The 17,452-nt window shown below is 36.6% G+C and overlaps 1 protein-coding gene across 14 annotated transcripts in view; it reads right to left on the bottom strand.

Annotated features, from left to right (window-relative positions):
• The window catches only part of STXBP5L (syntaxin binding protein 5L), a 516,557-nt gene that overhangs the window by 451,349 nt on the left and 47,756 nt on the right, over positions 1 to 17,452 (bottom strand). The window lies entirely within an intron of this gene.

The following is a 17,452-nucleotide window of genomic DNA, read 5'->3' as shown; positions in this document are numbered from 1 at the left end:
AACTGACATTATAGAAATGCAAAAAAAAATCACCAGAGACCATTATGAGCACCTCTACACTCTCAAACTAAAAACCAAGAGGAAGTGAATAAACTCTTGAAAACATATAACTGCCCGAGATTGAACTAGGATGAAATAGAAATCAAGAAAATACCAATAATGAGCAGTAAAGTCAATCAGTAATTTAAGAATCTCCTACGAAAATAAAAGCCTAGGACCAGACAAATTCACAGCTGAATTATACCACATTTACAAAAAAGAACTTATGGTGGTTCTACTAAAGTTATGCCAAAATATCGAGAAGGGAATCCTACATAACTCATTCTAGGAAACCAGTATCATTTTGATACCAAAGCCAGGCAGGGACACACAACAAAAAGGAAAACTATAGATCAATATCTCTGATGAACAGAGTTGCAAAAACTCCTCAACAAAATAGTAGCAAACCAAATTCAACAGCACATCAAGAAGATAATACACCACAATAGAGTGAGTTTTATTCCAGAATTGCAAGGACGATTCAACATATGCAAATCAATAAATTTGATTCACCACATAAACTGAATTAAAAACATAAAAACTACCTGATAATCTCAATAGATGAAGAAAAAGCATTAGATAATATCCAGGACCCCTTCATGATAACAATTCTCAACAAACTAGGCATACAAGGAGCATATCTCAAAATTATAAAAGCTGTATACAACAAATCCACAGCCAACATCATACTCAATGAGGTAGAGTTGAAAGCATTCCCCCTAACAACTGGAAAAGACAAGAATGCCAGCTTCCAGCACTCCTATTCAACATAGTACTGGAAGTCCCAGCTAGAGTAACAAAAGAGAGAAAGAAATAAGAGGCATGCAAACTGGAAAAGAGAAAGTCAAATTATCTCTGTTCACTGATGACATATTCTTATATCTACAAAACCCTAAATGCTCCTCCAAAAGACTCCTAGATTTGATAGATGAATTCAGTAAAGTTTCAGAATATAAAAATCATTGTATAAAAATCAAAACCATTTATATACACCAATAATGATGAAGCTGAGAAGCAAATCAAGAATTCAATCGGATTTGCAATGGCTAGAAAAATGTATATCTAGAAATACATTTAACCAAGGAGGTGAAAGATCTCTACAAGGAGAACTACAAAACAACAATGAAAGAAATCATAGATGACACAAATAATGGAAAAACATCCATGCTTATAGATTGGAAGAATCAATATCATTAAAATGACCATACTGCCCAAATCAATGTACATATTCAATGCAATTCCTATCAAATTACCAATGCCAACATCATTCCCCATAGAATAAGAATAATTGTAAAATTCATATAAACCAAAAAAATGTCCCAATAGCCAAAGAAATTCTAAGCAAAAAGAATAAAGCTAGAGACATCACATTCCCCGTTTGTCACAGTAGGTCACAGCACTGGCCACAATAGCAAAGTCATGGAATCAATCTAAGTGCTCATCAATGAATGATATGAAGGGTTGGTTAAAAAACAGTCATATACACTTCTGTGTGTGTGTGCATGCATGTGTGCGCATGGATATTATAATAGTATATTATACCAGTATTCCATGGCACAGACATATATATATATGTGTGTATATATATATATACATACACATATATACACATATATAAAATGTGATATATATATACACACATATATGTGTGTGTACATATATGTATTATTCCATGGTGCTTATATATGTGTGTATATAGATGAATGTATATGTGTGTGTGTGTGTGTGTGTGTGTATGTATGCATGTGCCATGGAATACTACTCAGCCATAAAAAGAATAAAGTCGTGTATTTTGCAGCAATATGGATGGAACTGGAGGCCACTATCCTAAGATGTGAAATGACTCAGAAATAGAAAGAAATAGAAAGTCAAAAACCACATGTTCTCACTAACCACATGTTTAGCAGAAGCTAAACAGTGGGTACACATAGACACACAGAGTTGAATAATAGACATTGGAGGCTCCAAAAGGTGGGATGGAGTTAAGGAGTTGGGGGGGGTGCGGGTGAAGGATAAAATAGTACCTACTGAGTACAATGTACACTACTTGGGTGACGGGTACAAAATCCTCAATTTCTCCACTACTCAATATATCCATGTAACAAAATTGCACTTGAAAAATTTACAAAAAAATTTTCTTAAATAAATAAAATTGTAAAAGCAACTGACTGGTACCATAAGGCTGCAGAGAACGCAATCTGCAGGAAGGCCCAAATTTCTAACCAGATTTTTCCCAATGCCCAGATGCTCAATCTGGAACCTCCCCCCTACAGAGAAATAACTAAAATGTCAGAATTAAGTCCTAGTTTCTGCTTAAGTCTTCCCCAGACTGGGAAACAATGGCAGGGCTACAATACAGTTCTGGGGCAATGTCTAACATTTGGTGCTCACTGTAAGTGTTCCCCAGTTCAGGAAACAACAGGGCAGGGTTTTAATTCCAGAGCAGCATTTAAGTTCTGTTGTTCACTGTAAGTCTTCCCCAGACCAGACAACAATGGAAGAGCAATAAGTTAGTTCCAGTGAATTGTTTTAGTTCCTGTGCTCAATATAAGTTCCCCTAGAATGGAAAAAAACAGCAGGCCAGTGTTCAGGAGACACGAAGAAAAAGACCTGGAAAGCACATGTAAAAAAAATAATAATAATGGTTTAAAAATTCCAAAATCTAGAGAAAGAAGACATCGTCCAGGTATAGGAAGTTCAGGGGCCACCCATCAAATTCAACCCAAAGGAGAAATCTCTAAGGCATATCATAATCAGTGAAATGAAAAGACAGGATACTCAAAGCAACAAAAGAAAAGAAACATCATATTGAACAGCATCCTGAATACAGATTGCAGCAGATTTCTCAGCAGAAATCCTGCTGTCCAGATGATAATGGGATGTTATATTGAAAAAGAGATGGGAAAAATTGCCATCCAAAAATACTGTACCCAGCAAAAGTATCATTTAAACACATTCAAAGATTCCCAAACAAACAGAAGCTGAGAGAATTCATCAAAATGTGACCTGTCTTACAAGAAATACTAAAAGCTATTCAATCTAAAATAAATGGGCACTAGTGTATAATAAGAAAACATTTGAAGGTGTAAAATTCACTGATAAAAGAAAAAAAGACTAATTCAGAATATTCTAAAACTGTAATTTGAATAAGTAAGCCATTTACATCTTGAGTATGAAGGCTAAAAGACAAAAACCTATTAAAATCAATAATTACTACAATAACTGGTTAAGAAACAGATAATATAAAAAGACGTAAACTGAAACACCAATAAATCAAATTATTGGGGGGGTGTTAAAGGGTAGGGTTTGGTTTTCTTATAATACTTTTCTTCTCTATGCAATAAAAGTTAAGTCATAATCAGTTTTAAATGACCTGATTTTTTGGAAGCCTCATAGTAACCACAATGCAAAAACCTGTAATAGACTAAAAATAAGTAGCACAAAATCAAAACATACTACCAGAGAAATTCACTTAACCACAAAGGAAAACAGTAACAGAGGAAAACAGAAAGAAAGTATCTACAAAACAACCAGAAAACAAGTAATAAAATGTAAACAGAAAATAATCTTGAAGGTAAGTGGACAAAAGTCTTCAATTAAAAGAGTGCAAGCCACATGTAGAAAAATAAAACTGGATCTCCATCTCTCACTTTACACAAAAATCAAGTCAATATAGATAAAAGACTTAAATATAAGACCTGAAACGATAAAAATTCTACAAGATAACTTTGGAAAAACTCCTCAAGACATTGACTTAGGCAAGAATTCATGCCTAAGACTCCAAAAGCAAATACAACAAAACCAAAAATAAATGGGACCTAATTAAACTAAAAAGCTCTGTAGAGCAAAAGAAATAATCAGCAAACAGACAACCCACAGAGTGAAAGAAAATCTTCACAAACTATCCAGCCAACAAAGGACTAGTATCCAGAATCTACAAGGAACTCAAACAAATTAACAAGAAAAAAAAAAAAAAACACAAATAATCCCATCGAAAAATGAGCAAAGGACATGAATAGATAATTCTCAAAAAAGATACACAACCAACCAACAAACATATGAAAAAACACTCAACATCACTAATTATCAGGGAAATGCAAATTAAAACCATGATGAGATTACACCTTACTCCTGCAAGCATGGCTATAAATTAAAAGTTAAAAAAAAAAATAGATGTTGGCATGGATGTGGTAAAAAGGGAACACTTTTACACTGCTGATAGGAATGTAAATTAGTACAAACACTATGGAAAACAGTATAGACGTTCCTTAAAGAACCACAAGTAAAATTACCATTTGATCTAGCAATCCCACTACTGAGTATCTACCCAAAGGAAAATAAGTCATTATATGAAAAAGATGCATGCACACACGTTTATGGTGGCACAATTCACAATTGCAAAGATATGGAACTAACCTAAGTGTCTATCAACCAACAAGTAGATAAAGAAAAAATGGCATATATACAAATGCTACTCAGCCATAAAAAGGAATGACATAATGCCTCTTGCAGGAACTTAGATGGAGCGGGAGGCCATTATTCTAAGTGAAGTAACTCAGGAATAAAGAATCAAATATCATATGTTTTAAGTGAGAGCTAAGCTATGAGGATGCAAAGGCATAAGAGTGATATAATGGACTTTGGATACTCAGAACGGGGGAGGGATAAAAGACTATATATTGGGTATAGTATACAATGCTCAGGTAACAGGTGCACTAAAATATCAGAAATCACCACTAAAAAACTTATCTATGTAACCAGAAACAATCTGTACCCCCAAAGCTTTTGAAATTTATTTTAAAAATTAAAATGCAGGGTGGCTGAATGGATTTTTAAAACATCCAACTATATACTGTCTACAAGAAACTCTATTTACCAGTATAGACATGCACAAACTGAAAGTGAAGGGATGAATAAGATATTACATGCAAATGGAAGCCAACATACAGCAGCAGTAGCTATACTTATATCAGACAAAATAAAATTTAGTCAAGAATGATAAAAAAAGATACAGAAGGTCATTATATGATGATGAAGGGGTCAATACAATAACAGGATATTACAGTTATAAAGATATATGCAGTCAACACCAGAGCACCCAAATATAAAAGACAAATATTAACAGACCTAAAGAGAGAGACTGACTGTGACACAATAACAGTAGAAAACCACAGCACTCCATGTTCAGCATTAGACAGATCATCTGAACAGAAAATCAACTAAGAAACATCAGAGCTAAACTGAACTCTTGACCAAATGGACCAAACAGACATTTATAGAACATTGCATCCAATAGCCGCAGAATACACATTTTTCTCAACAGCACATGCAACATTCTCTAGGACAGACCATATGTTAGGTCACGAAACAAATCTTAATAAATTTTTAGAAGTCAAAACTATTAAATAACTTTTCTGACCATAATGGGATAAAATTAGAAGTAAACCACAGAAGGAATATCAGAAACTGTACAAAATCATAATTATTAAGCAACATATTCCTAAACAATGAATGGTTTAATGAAGAAGTTTAAAAGAAAATTGAAAATTTTCTTGAGACAAATTAAAATGGAAACACAACATACTAAAACCTATGAAATACAGCAAAAGCAGTTCTAAGAAGAAAGTTGTTTATAGCAATAAAAAGCCTACATCATAAAAATTAGAAAGACTTCAAATGAACAGCCTAACACTGCACCTCAAGAAATGGAAAGCAAGAAAAATTCAAACCCAAAATTAGTAGAAGGAAAGAAATAATAAACATTAGAGTATAAAGATATAAAATTGAGACTAAACAAATATCAACAAAATAAAAATGATGTTTTGAAAAAATAAACGAAATTGAAAACCTTTAGCTAGAGTAAGAACAAAAGAGAGACCTAAAAATCCCAGCCCAGGCTTGCTAGGCCAAGCAGCTTAGCGCTACTCTAGAAAATCACACAACTGAAGATGGCCGAATAGGAACAACTCCAGTCTGCAGCTCCCAGTGTGATTGACACAGAAGATGGGTGATTTCTGCATTTCCAACTGAGGTACCTGCTTAATCTCACTGGGACTGGTTGGACAGTGGGTGCAGCCCACGGAGGGTGAGCTGAAGCAGGGTGATGCATTGTCTCACCCAGGAAGTGCAAGGGGAGGGGAAATTTCCCTTTCCTAGCCAAGGGAAGCGGTGACAGACTACATGGAAAAACAGGACACTCCCCGACCAAATACTGCACTTTTCCCAAGGTCTTAAAAACCGGCAGACAAGGCGATTCTCTCTCGTGCCTGGCTCAGTGGGTCCCACACCCACTGAGCCTTGCTCACTGCTAGCACAGCAGTCTGAGGTTGATCTGCCAAGCGGCAGCCTGGCTAGGGGAAGGGCGTCCACCATTGCTGAAGCTTGAGTAGGTAAACAAAGCAACCAGGAAGCTAGAATTGGGCAGAGCCCACTGCAGCTCAACAAGCTCTACTGCCTCTAGAATCCAACTCTCTGGGCAGGGTATAGCTGAACAAAAGGCAGCAGACAACTTCTGCAGACTTAAACGCCCCTGTCTGATAGCTCTGAAGAGAGCAGTGATTCTCCCAGCACAGCATTTGAGCTCTGAGAACGGACACACTGCCTCCTCAAGTGGGTCCCTGACCCCCTTGTAGCCTAAGTGGAACACACCTCCCAGTAGGGGCCAACACCTCATATAGACAGCTGCCACTCTGGGATGAAGCTTCCAGAGGAAGGATCAGGCAGCAATATTTGCTGTTCTGCAATATTTGCTGTTCTGCAGCCTCCAATGGTGATACCCAGGCAAACAGGACCTGGAGAGGAATTCCAGCAAACTCCAAAAGACCTGCAGTTGAGGGACCTGACTGTTAGAAGGAAAACTAACAAACAGAAAGGAATAGCATCAACATCAACAAAAAGGTCATCTACACCAAAACCCCATCTCTAGGTCACCAGCATTAAATACCAAAGGTAGATAAAGCCACAAAGATGGGGAGAAACCAGAGCAGAAAAGCTGAAAATTCTAAAAATCAAACTGCCACTTCCCCTCCAAAGGATCACAGCTCCTCGCCAGCAACGGAACAAAGCTGGACGGAGAATGACTTTGACAAGTTGACAGAAGTAGGCTTCGGAAGGTCAGTAATAACAAACTTCTCCGAGCTAAAGGAGGATGTTTGAACCCATTGCAAGGAAGCTAAAAACCTTGACAAAAGATAAGATGAATGGCTAACTAGAATAAACAGTGTATAGAAGACCTTAAATGACCTGATGGAGCTGAAAACCATGGCACAAGAACTTTGTGACGCATGCACAAGCTTCAAAAGCTGATTCGATCAAGTGGAAGAAAGGGTATCAGTGATGGAAGATCAAAATAATGAAATAAAGTCACAGGAGAAGTTTAGAGAAAAAAAAGAGTGAAAAGAAACGAACAAAGCCTTTAAGAAATATGGGACTATGTGAAGAGACCAATTCTACATTTGATTGGTGTATCTGAAAGTGATGGGGAGAATGGCACCAAGTTGGAAAACACTCTTCAGGTTATTATCCAGGAGAATTTCCCCAACCTAGCAAGACAAGCCAACACTCAATTTCAGGAAATAAAGAGAAGATCATAAAGATACTCTTTGAGAAGAGCAACCCCAAGACACATAACTGTCAGATTCAACAAGGTTGAAATGAAGGAAAAAATGTTAAGGGCAGCCAGAGAGAAAGGTCAAGTTACCCACAAAGGGAAGCCCATCAGACTAACAACAGATCTCTCAGCAGAAAGCCTACAAGCCAGAAGAGAGTGGGGGCCAATATCCAACATTCTTACAGAAAAGAATTTTCAATGGAGAATATCATATCCAGCCAAACTAGGCTTCATAAATGAAGGAGAATTAAAATTCTTTACAGACAAGCAAATGCTCAGAAATTTTGTCACACCAGGCCTGCCTTAAAAGAGCTCCTCAAGGAAGCACTAAACATAGAAAGAAACAACCAGTATCAGCCACTGCAAAAACAGGCCAAATTATAAAGACCATCGATGCTATGAAGAAACTGCATCAATTAGCTGACAAAACAACCAGTGAACATCATGACAGAATCAAATTCACAGATAACAGTATTAACCTTAAATGTAAATGGGCTAAATGCCCCAATTAAAAGACACAGACTGGCAAATTGGATAAACAGTCAACACCCATCAGTGTGCTGTATTCAGGAAACCCATCTCATATGCAAAGACACACATAGGCTCAAAATAAAGAGATGGAGGAAGATCTACCAAGCAAATGGAAAACAAACAAGCAAAAAAAACCAGGGGTTGCAATCCTAGTCTCTAATAAAACAGACTTTAAACCAACAAAGATCAAAAGAGACAAAGAAGGCCATTACATAATGGTAAAGGGATCAATTCAACAAGAAGAGCTAACTACTGTAAATATATATGCACCCAAAACAGGAGCACCCAGATTCATACAGCAAGTCCTTAGAGACATACAAAGAGACTTAGACTCCCACACAATAATAATGGGAGATTTTAACACCCCACTGTCAAAATTAGACAGATCAATGAGACAGAAGGTTAACAAGGATGTCCAGGACCTGAACTCAGATCTGCAACAAGCAGACCTAATAGACATCTACAGAACTCTCCACCCCAAATCAACAGAATATACATTCTTTTCAGCACCACATCACACTTGTTTCAAAATTGGCCACATAATTGGAACTAAAGCACTCCTCAGCAATTGTAAAAGAACAGAAATTACAACAAACTGTCTCTCAGACCACAGTGCAATCAAATTAGAACTCAGGATTAAGAAATTCACTCAAAACCGCACAACCACATGGAACTGAACAACTTGCTCCTGACTGACTACTGGGTAAATAACGAAATGAAGGCAGAAATAAAGATGTTCTTTGAAACCAATGAGAACAAAGACACAACATACCAGAATCTCTGGGACACATTTAAGCAGTGTATAGAGGGTATGTATAGCACTAAAAGCCCACAAGAGAAGGAAGGAAAGATCTAAAATCGACACCTTAACATCACACTTAATATAACTAGAGAAGCAAGAGCAAACAAATTCAAAAGCTAGCAGAAGGCAAGAAATAACTAAGATCAGAGCAGAACTGAAGGAGATAGAGACACAAAAAACCCTTCAAAACATCAATGAATCCAGGAGCTGCTTTTTTGGAAAAGATCAACAAAATTGATAGACCACTAGCAAGACTAATAAAGAAGAAAAGAGAGAAGAATCAAATACATGCAATAAAAAATGATAAAAAGAATATCACCACCGATCCTGCAGAAATACAAACTACCATCAGAAAATACTGTAAACAACTCTATGCAAATAAACTAGAAAATCTAGAAGAAATGGATAAATTCCTCGACACATACACCCTCGCAACACTAAGCCAGGAAGAAGTCGAATCTCTGAATAGACCAATAACAGGATCTGAAATTGAGGCAATAATTAATAGCCTACCAACCAAAAACAATCCAGGACCAGACGGATTCAAAGCAGAATACTACCAGAGGTACTAAGAGGAGCTGGTATCATTCCTTCTGAAAGTATTTCAATCAATAGAAAAAGAGGAAATCCTCCCAAATTCATTTTATGAGGCCAATATTATCCCGATACAAAAGCCTGGCAGGGACACAACAATAAAAGAGAATTTTAGACCACTATCCCTGATGAATATTGCTGCAAAAATCCTCAATAAAATACTGGCAAAACAAATCCAGCAGCACATCAAAAAGCTTATCCACCATGATCAAGTCAGCTTCATCCCTGGGATGCAAGACTGGTTCAACATATGCAAATCAATAAACATAATCCATCAAATAAACAGAACAAATGACAAAAACCACATGATTATCTCAATAGATGCAAAAAAGACCTTTGACAAAACTCAACACCCTTTCATGCTAAAAACTCTCAATAAACTAGGTATTGATGGCACATATCTCAAAATAATAAGAGCTATTTATGACATACTGCCAATATCATACTGAATGGGCAAAAACTGGAAGCATTCCCTTTGAAAACTGGTACAAGACAGAGATGCCCTTTCTCACTATTCCTATTCAACATAATGTTGGAAGTTCTGGCCAGGGCAATCAAACAAGAGAAAGAAATAAAGGGCATTCAATTGGGAAAAGAGGAAGTCAAATTGTCCCTGTTTGCAGATGACATGATTGTATATTTAGAAAACCCCATTGCCTCAGCCCAAAATCTCCTTAAGCTGATAAGCAACTTCAGCAAAGTCTCAGGATACAAAATAAATCTGCAAAAATCAAAAGCATTCTTATACACCATTAACAGACAAACAGAGAGCCAAATCATGAGTGAACTCCCATTTACAACGGCTACAAAGAGAATAAAATACCTAGGAATCCAACTAACAAGGGATGTGAAGGACTTCTTGAAGAAGAACTACAAACCACTGCTCAATGAAATAAAAGAGGACACAAACAAATGGAAGAATATTCCATGCTCATGGATAGGAAGAATCAATATAGTGAAAATGGCTATACTGCCCAAGGTAATTTATAGATTCAATGCCATCCCCATCAAGCTACCAATGACTTTCTTCACAGAATTGGAAAAACTATTTAAAGTTCATATGGAACCAAAAAAGGGCCTGCATTGCCAAGACAATTCTAAGCAAAATGAACAAAGCTGGAGCCATCATGCTACCTGACTTCAAACTATACTACAAGGCTACAGTAAGCAAAACAGCATGGTACTGGTACCAAAACAGAGATATAGATCAATGGAACAGAACAGAGCCCTCAGAAATAATGCCACACATCTACAACCATCTGATCTTTGACAAATCTGACAAAAACACGAAATGGGGAAAGGATTCCCTATTTAATAAATGATGCTGGGAAAACTGGCTAGCCATATGTAGAAAGCTGAAACTGGATCTCTTCCTTACACCTTACACAAAAATTAATTCAAGATGGATTAAAGAATTACATGTGAGACCTAAAACCATAAAAACCCTAGAAGAAAACCTAGGCAATACCATTCAGGATATAGGCATGGGCAAGGAATTCATGACTAAAACACCAAAAGCAATGGCAACAAAAGCCAAAATTGACAAATGGGATCTAATTAAACTAAAGAGCTTCTACACAGCAAAAGAAACTACCATCAGAATGAACAGGCAACCTATAGAATGGAAGAAAAATTTTGCAATCTACCTATCTGACAAAGGGCTAATATCCAGAATCTACAAAGAACTCAAACAAAAATTTACCAGAAAAAAACAAACAACCCCATCGAAAAGTGGGCAAATGATATGAACAGACACTTCTCAAAAGAAGACATTTACGCAGCCAAAAGACACATGAAAAAATGCTCATCATCACTGGTCATCAGAGAAATGAAATTCAAACCCACAATGAGATACCATCTCATGCCAGTTGGAATGGCAATCATTAAAAAGTCAGGAAACAACAGATGTTGGGGAGGATGTGGAGAAATAGGAATGCATTTACACTGTTGGTGGGAGTGTAAACTAGTTCAACTATTGTGGAAGACAGTGTGGCGATTCCTCAAGGATCTAGAACTACAAGTACCTTTTGACCCAGCCATCCCATTACTGGGTATAGACCCAAAGGATTATCAATCATACTACTATAAAGACACATGCACACGTATGTTTATGGTGGCACTATTCACAACAGCAAAGACTTGGAAGCATCCCAAATGTCCATCAATGATAGACTGGATTAAGAAAATATGGCACATATACACCATGGAATACTATGTAGCCATAAAAAAGGATGAGTTCTAGCCCTTCGCAGGGACATGGATGAAGCTGGAAACCAGCATTCTCAGCAAACTATCGCAAGGACAGAAAACCAAACACTGCGTGTTCTCACTTATAGAGGGGAATTGAACAATGAGATCACTCACACACGGGGCGGGGAACATCACACACTGGGGCCTCGTTGGGGGACGAGGGCTGGGGGAGGGATAGCATTAGGAGAAATACCTAATGTAAATGATGAGTTGATGGGTGCAGCTACAAACATGGTACACGTATACCTATGTATCAAACCTGCACGTTGTGCACGTGTACCCTAGAACTTAAAGTATAATTAAAAAAAAAAAACAAAAAAAGAAAGACTAAAGTATAGCCTCTAATTGACCTCAGTGAACAAAGAGATGTATCACGGGGGAAAAAAAAAACTAAATAAAATCAAAAACTAAAAAGGAGATATTATATTTCATACCACAGAAATACAAAGGCTCATTAGAAACTATTACGAACAACTATGCACCAACAAATTTTAAAACTTCAAAGAAATTGATAAATTTCTAGACATATACAACCTACCAAGATTGAAATATGAAGAAATAGATATCCTGAACAGATCAAAAATGAGTAATAAGATTTAAACAGTAATTTAAAAAAAATCTTTCACCAAAGAAAATCCCAAGACCTGATAGTATCATGGCTGAATTCCTTTTTTTTTTATTATACTTTAAGTTTTAGGGTACATGTGCACAACGTGCAGGTTTGTTACATATGTATACATGTGCCATGCTGGTGTGCTGCACCCATTAACTCGTCATTTACATTACGTATATCTCCTAATGCTATCCCTCCCCCCTGCCCCCACCCCACAACAGGCCCCAGGGTGTGATGTTCCCCTTCCTGTGTCCAAGTGTTCTCATTGTTCAATTCCCACCTATGAGTGAGAACACGCGGTATTTGGTTTTTCTGTCCTTGCCATAGTTTGCTGAGAATGATGGTTTCCAACTTCATCCATGTCCCTACAAAGGACATGAACTCATCCTTCTTTATGGCAGCATAGTATTCCATGGTGTATATGTGTCATATTTTCTTAATCCAGTCTATCATTGATGGACATTTGGGTTGGTTCCAAGTCTTTGCTATTATGAATAGTGCCACAATAAACATACGTGTGCATGTGTTTTTATACCAGCATGATTTATACTCCTTTCGGTATATACCCCGTAATGGGATGGCTGGGTCAAATGGTATTTCTAGTTCTAGATCCCTGAGGAATCGCCACACTGACTTCCACAATGGTTGAACTAGTTTACAGTCCCACCAACAGTGTAAAAGTGTTCCTATTTCTCCACATCCTCTCCAGCACCTGTTGTTTCCTGACTTTTTAATGATTGCCATTCTAACTGGCATGAGATGGTATCTCATTGTGGTTTTGATTTGCATTTCTCTGTTGCCCAGTGATGATGAGCATTTTTTTCATGTATCTTTGGGCTGCATAAATGTCTTCTTTTGAGAAGTGTCTGTTCATATCATTTGCCCACTTTTCGATGGGGTTGTTTGTTTTTTTCTGGTAAATTTTTGTTTGAGTTCTTTGTAGATTCTGGATATTAGCCCTTTGTCAGATAGGTAGATTGCAAAAATTTTCTTCCATTCTATAGGTTGCCTGTTCATTCTGATGGTAGTTTCTTTTGCTGTGTAGAAGCTCTTTAGTTTAATTAGATCCCATTTGTCAATTTTGGCTTTTGTTGCCATTGCTTTTGGTGTTTTAGTCATGAAGTCCTTGCCCATGCCTATGTCCTGAATGGTATTGCCTAGGTTTTCTTCTAGGGTTTTTATGGTTTTAGGTCTAACATTTAATTCTTTAATCCATCTTGAATTAATTTTTGTATAAGGTGTAAGGAAGGGATCCAGTTTCAGCTTTCTACATATGGCTAGCCAGTTTTCCCACCAGCATCATTTATAAAATAGGGAATCCTTTCCCCCTTTCTTGTTTTTGTCAGATTTGTCAAAGATCAGATGGTTGTAGATGTGTGGCATTATTTCTGAGGCCTCTGTTCTGTTCCATTGGTCTATATCTCTGTTTTGGTACCAGTACCATGCTGTTTTGCTTACTGTAGCCTTGTAGTATAGTTTGAAGTCAGGTAGCATGATGCCTCCAGCTTTGTTCTGTTGGCTTAGGATTGACTTGGCAATGTGGGATCTTTTTTGGTTCCATATGAACTTTAAAGTAGTTTTTTCCAGTTCTGTGAAGAAAGTCATTGGTAGCTTGATGGGGATGGCATTGAATCTATAAATTACCTTGAGCAGTATGGCCAGTTTCAAGACATTGATTCTTCCTAACCATGAGCATGGAATGTTCTTCCATTTGTTTGTATCCTCTTTAAGTTCATTGAGCAGTGGTTTGTAGTTCTCCTTGAAGAGGTCCTTCACGTCCCTTGTAAGTTGGATTCCTAGGTATTTTATTCTCTTTGAAGCAATTGTGAATGGGAGTTCACTCATGATTTGGCTCTCTGTCTGTTTTTGGTGTATAAGAATGCTTGTGATTTTTGCACATTGATTTTGTATCCTGAGACTTTGCTGAAGTTGCTTATCAGCTTATGGAGATTTTGGGCTGAGATGATGGGGATTTCTAGATATACAATCATGTCACCTGCAAACAGGGACAATTTGAATTCCTCTTTTCCTAATTGAATACTCTTTATTTCCTTCTCCTGCCTAATTGCCCTGGCCAGAACTTCCAACACTATGTTGAATAGGAGTGGTGAGAGAGGGCATCCCTGTCTTGTGCCAGTTTTCAAAGGGAATGCTTCCAGTTTTTGCCCATTCAGTATAATATTGGCTGTGGGTTTGTCATAGATAGCTCTTATTATTTAGAGATACGTCCCATCAATACCTAATTTATTGAGAGTTTTTAGCATGAAGGGCTGTTGAATTTTGTCAAAGGCCTTTTCTGCATCTATTGAGATAATCATGTGGTTTTTGTCTTTGGTTCTGTTTATATGCTGGATTACATTTATTGATTTGCATATGTTGAACCAGACTTGCATCCCAGGGATGAAGCCCACTTGATCATGGTGGATAAGCTTTTTGATATGTTGCTGGATTCGGTTTGTATTATATTGAGGATTTTTGCATTGATCTTCATCAGGGATACTGGTCTAAAATTCTATTTTTTTGTTGTGTCTCTGTCAGCCTTTGGTATCAGGATGATGCTGGCCTGATAAAATGAGTTAGGGAGGATTCCCTCTTTTTCTATTGATTGGAATAGTTTCAGAAGGAATGGTACCAGCTCCTCCTTGTACCTCTGGTAGAATTCGGCTGTGAATCCATCTGGTCCTGGACTTTTTTTGGTTGGTAAGCTATTAATTATTGCCTCAATTTCAGATCCTGTTATTGGTGTATTCAGAGATTCAATTTCTTCCTGGTTTAGTCTTGGGAGGGTGTATGTGTCCAGGAATTTATCCATTTCTTCTAGATTTTCTAGTTTATTTGCATAGAGTTGTTTATAGTATTCTGTGATGGTAGTTTGTATTTCTGCAGGATCGGTGGTGATATCCCCTTTATCACTTTTTATTGTGTCTATTTGACTCTTCTCCCTTTTCTTCTTTATTAGTCTTGCTAGCGGTCTATCAATTTTGTTGATCTTTTCAAAAAACCAGCTCCTGGATTCGTTGATTTTTTGAAAGGTTTTTTGTGTCTCTATGTCCTTCAGTTCTGCTCTGATCTTAGTTATTTCTTGTCTCTGCTAGCTTTTGAATGTATTTACTCTTGCTTCTCTAGTTCTTTTAATTGTGATGTTAAGGCATCAATTTTAGATCTTTCCTGCTTTCTCTTGTGGGCATTTAGTGCTATAAATTTCCCTCTACACACTGCTTTAAATGTGTCCCAGAGATCCTGGTATGTTGTATCTTTGTTCTCGTTGGTTTCAAAGAACATCTTTATTGCTACCTTCATTTCGTTATGTACTCAGTAGTAATTCAGAAGTCTACCAAACATTTAAAGAACTAATACTACTTCTACTCAAACTCTTAAGAAAAAAATTGAAAAGCAGGGAATACTTTCAATCTCATCTATGAGGCCGGCATTATCCTAATACCAAAACCAACAAAGACAGAACAAAAAAGAACACTACAAGCCAATATCCTCGATAAACCTAGATGCAAAAATCCTCAACAAAATACTCACAAATCAATTTCAACAAGACAACATATTTTTTAAAAATCACTTATCATTATCAAGTGGGAATCATCTCAGGAATTCATGAATGGTTCAGCATATGCAAATCAATAAATATCATATATCACAGTAACATAATCAATAACAAAAACTATCCGATCATTTCAATAAGTGCTGAAAATTCATCTAATTTCAAATTTCACACTATCTGGTTTCCAATCTACAAAGCTACAGTAAATAAAAACAGTGTAGTAGTAACATAGAAACATACCTATAGATCAGTGGAATAGAATAGGAGAGCCCACAAACAAACCCTAACATGTATGATCAAATAATTTTTTGACAAGGGTGCCAGTACCATTCAATGGATAAGACAGTCTTGTCAACAAATGGTTCTGGGAAAATGGGATATCCACATGCCAAATAGTGAGATTAGACCCTTTTACTATATACAAAAATTCACTCAGAAATGGATAAAAGGCCCAAATGTAAAACCTAAAACTATAAAACTCTTAGAAGAAAACAGGGTAAAAGCTTCATTCCATTGGATTTGGTAAAGATTTCTTACATATGACACCAAAGCACAGGCAACAAAAGAAAAAAATAGCCAACTTGAACTTCATTAAAATTTAAAATATTTGCATCAAAGGGCAATTACTATTGGTGAAAATGTAAACCAGTATAGCTGCTATGAGAAACAGAATGACAGTTCCTCAAAAAATTAAAAATACAATTATCATATGATCCAGCAATTCTTCTTCTGGATATATACCCAAAAGAACTAAAAGCAACATTTCAAAGAGATATTTGTACACCCATGTTCATAGCAATATTATTCATAATAGCTAAAACATGGAAAAAACAAGTGCCCATAAATTAACGAACAGATATCAAAATGTGATATATACACACAATGAAATATTATTCAGTCTTAAAAAGGAAGGAAGTTCTCACATATGCTTCAACATGGATAAACGTTGAGGACATTATGCTGAATGAAATAAGCCAGTCACAAAAAAGAAGAATACTGTATGCTTTCACTTATATAAGTTACCTAGAGTAGTAAAAATTATAGAAACAGAAAGCAGAATGGTGGTTTCCAGGGGCTAGAAGAAGAGGGACATGGAGAGTTATAATTTAATGGGTGTAGAGTTTCAGTTTTACAAAGTGAAAGATTTACAGAAAAGGACGGTGATGATGGTTGCATAATATAAATGTATTTAATAACGCTGAATGGTACACTAAAAAAATTAAAACTAAAATATCTAATTACCACATGACCCTTCAGTTGTACTCCTGGGCATTTACACCAGAGAAACAAAAACTTAGGTTCACACAAAAATATGTACACAGATGATCATAGTTGTTTAGTAAGAATAGCCAAAAACCAGAAACAAGTCAAATTTCTTTGAATAGGTGAATGGCTACACTGTGGTACATCTATACCATGGAATATTATCCAATTCAGTATAAAGGAATAAACTATTGATAC

This window comes from Homo sapiens, chromosome 3, assembly GCF_000001405.40.
Source record: "Homo sapiens chromosome 3, GRCh38.p14 Primary Assembly".
In the NCBI taxonomy this organism is placed as follows: domain Eukaryota; kingdom Metazoa; phylum Chordata; class Mammalia; order Primates; family Hominidae; genus Homo; species Homo sapiens.
Note: the sequence above shows the minus strand (reverse complement) of the source record. Positions and strands in the feature narration are given on the sequence as shown.